The sequence below is a fragment of the Homo sapiens genome, chromosome 19 (genome assembly GCF_000001405.40).
Source record: "Homo sapiens chromosome 19, GRCh38.p14 Primary Assembly".
Taxonomy (NCBI): domain Eukaryota; kingdom Metazoa; phylum Chordata; class Mammalia; order Primates; family Hominidae; genus Homo; species Homo sapiens.
Genome location: NC_000019.10, coordinates 31075508 through 31076768, shown reverse-complemented (window position 1 = coordinate 31076768; position 1261 = coordinate 31075508). Strand labels below are relative to the sequence as shown.

At 43.1% G+C, this 1261-nt stretch overlaps 1 annotated feature.

Moving 5' to 3' along the window:
* Nucleotides 567-773: a silencer, noted in NCBI's record as "fragment chr19:31566902-31567108 (GRCh37/hg19 assembly coordinates)". NCBI's record gives its function as "represses an EF-1alpha promoter that drives an FKBP-Casp9 reporter gene in an ReSE screen in K562 erythroleukemia cells {active_cell/tissue: K562}" and the evidence as "EXISTENCE:reporter gene assay evidence [ECO:0000049][PMID:32094911]".

The window sequence follows — 1261 nt, the reverse complement described above, 5'->3', positions numbered from 1 at the left end:
CTCGGCTGACCATCGATGTAGCTTATTATCTCCCAGAAGCACATAATGTGTTCACCAAGTGACTGCATTACAGCAAGCCCCTAAATTGTATTTGGACAAAGAATAATTGAACACTGGACAGAATAACAAATGCCCCGGTCAAGTTTGCTTCATGGGTTTATCGTGTTGTATTAACATGATAGAAATATGAATACTTAAATCTTATCTCAGGTATAGTTTATAACTGCATTAATCATTTACTGTATTATATATTTTTCATGTCAGTAAGATTGTGGGGAAAAGATTCAATTTTCACAGCACAGTCAGAGAGTGTGTTTTAGATAAGTAAGAGGCCAGGATTAAACCACTGCTGCATGGCTTTCAATTGCAGGCCCTGCAAAGGGAAGGTTAGCACATATCAAGCAATATTAAGCAGGATCGTTTGGGCTTTGGAAAAATAAATCACCGGGCCACTCAGTGCCATCGTCGTGTCTGATGGAATCAGGTAAACACTTACAGACTTTTTACTTATATATGATAGGTCCAAACTAGGCTGGTTGGACTACTCTTTGTCCAAGCCTGATGCTCTGTTCTTTGCAATGTGTGTCTGTTGCTGACTTCCTGTGTTGGTCTGGGCAGGTGTGCAGGGGAAGAGAAGGGTTCAGGGGCATCTTTGACCTGGCACTGGACAGACAGCCCTGAGTGGCATACCCTCCTTCAGGGAAGAATGGATTCAGAGAGACAGTTACAGTAAGCATGTTGCTGAGGCACGTGCCTCCAGAATCCTGGAGTATGTTTTCTAAAACAGTTGTGGGGGATGGGGGGGAGCTGCCTTTTCCCCTCGATAGGTGATAGGTACCACATTGGTTCCTACCTGGCTAAGCCCTGCAGAATCATGTCAGCATCAACTTAAATCACCACAGACATTCTCACTGGAGGACGGACGTTCTTCCAAATTGCTAGCTTCAATCCGTTCTGAGGGGCTGGGATGGGAAAACTTGGCATTTTTTAAAATATAAATTTCCTGAAATTTCAGTTCCCAGTGATGTTGTTCTAAAAACTCTGTAAGAGGTCTGTCATGGTTGGTTGTACTCTTTAAGCTTTCCTGTTTGCCCAGCAAAGTGAAGCAGAGGTCGCGACACAGAGCAACTTATTTTTCAAAGTTTAGGAAAAAATCAAAACAGCAGGCCCACAGAATAGAAAGGTGAGATGCAAAGACACAAATCACTTCCCAGTCACAAAAATTGCCAAAAAATAGCAGCTTGCAGCTGTGCACAGCAGG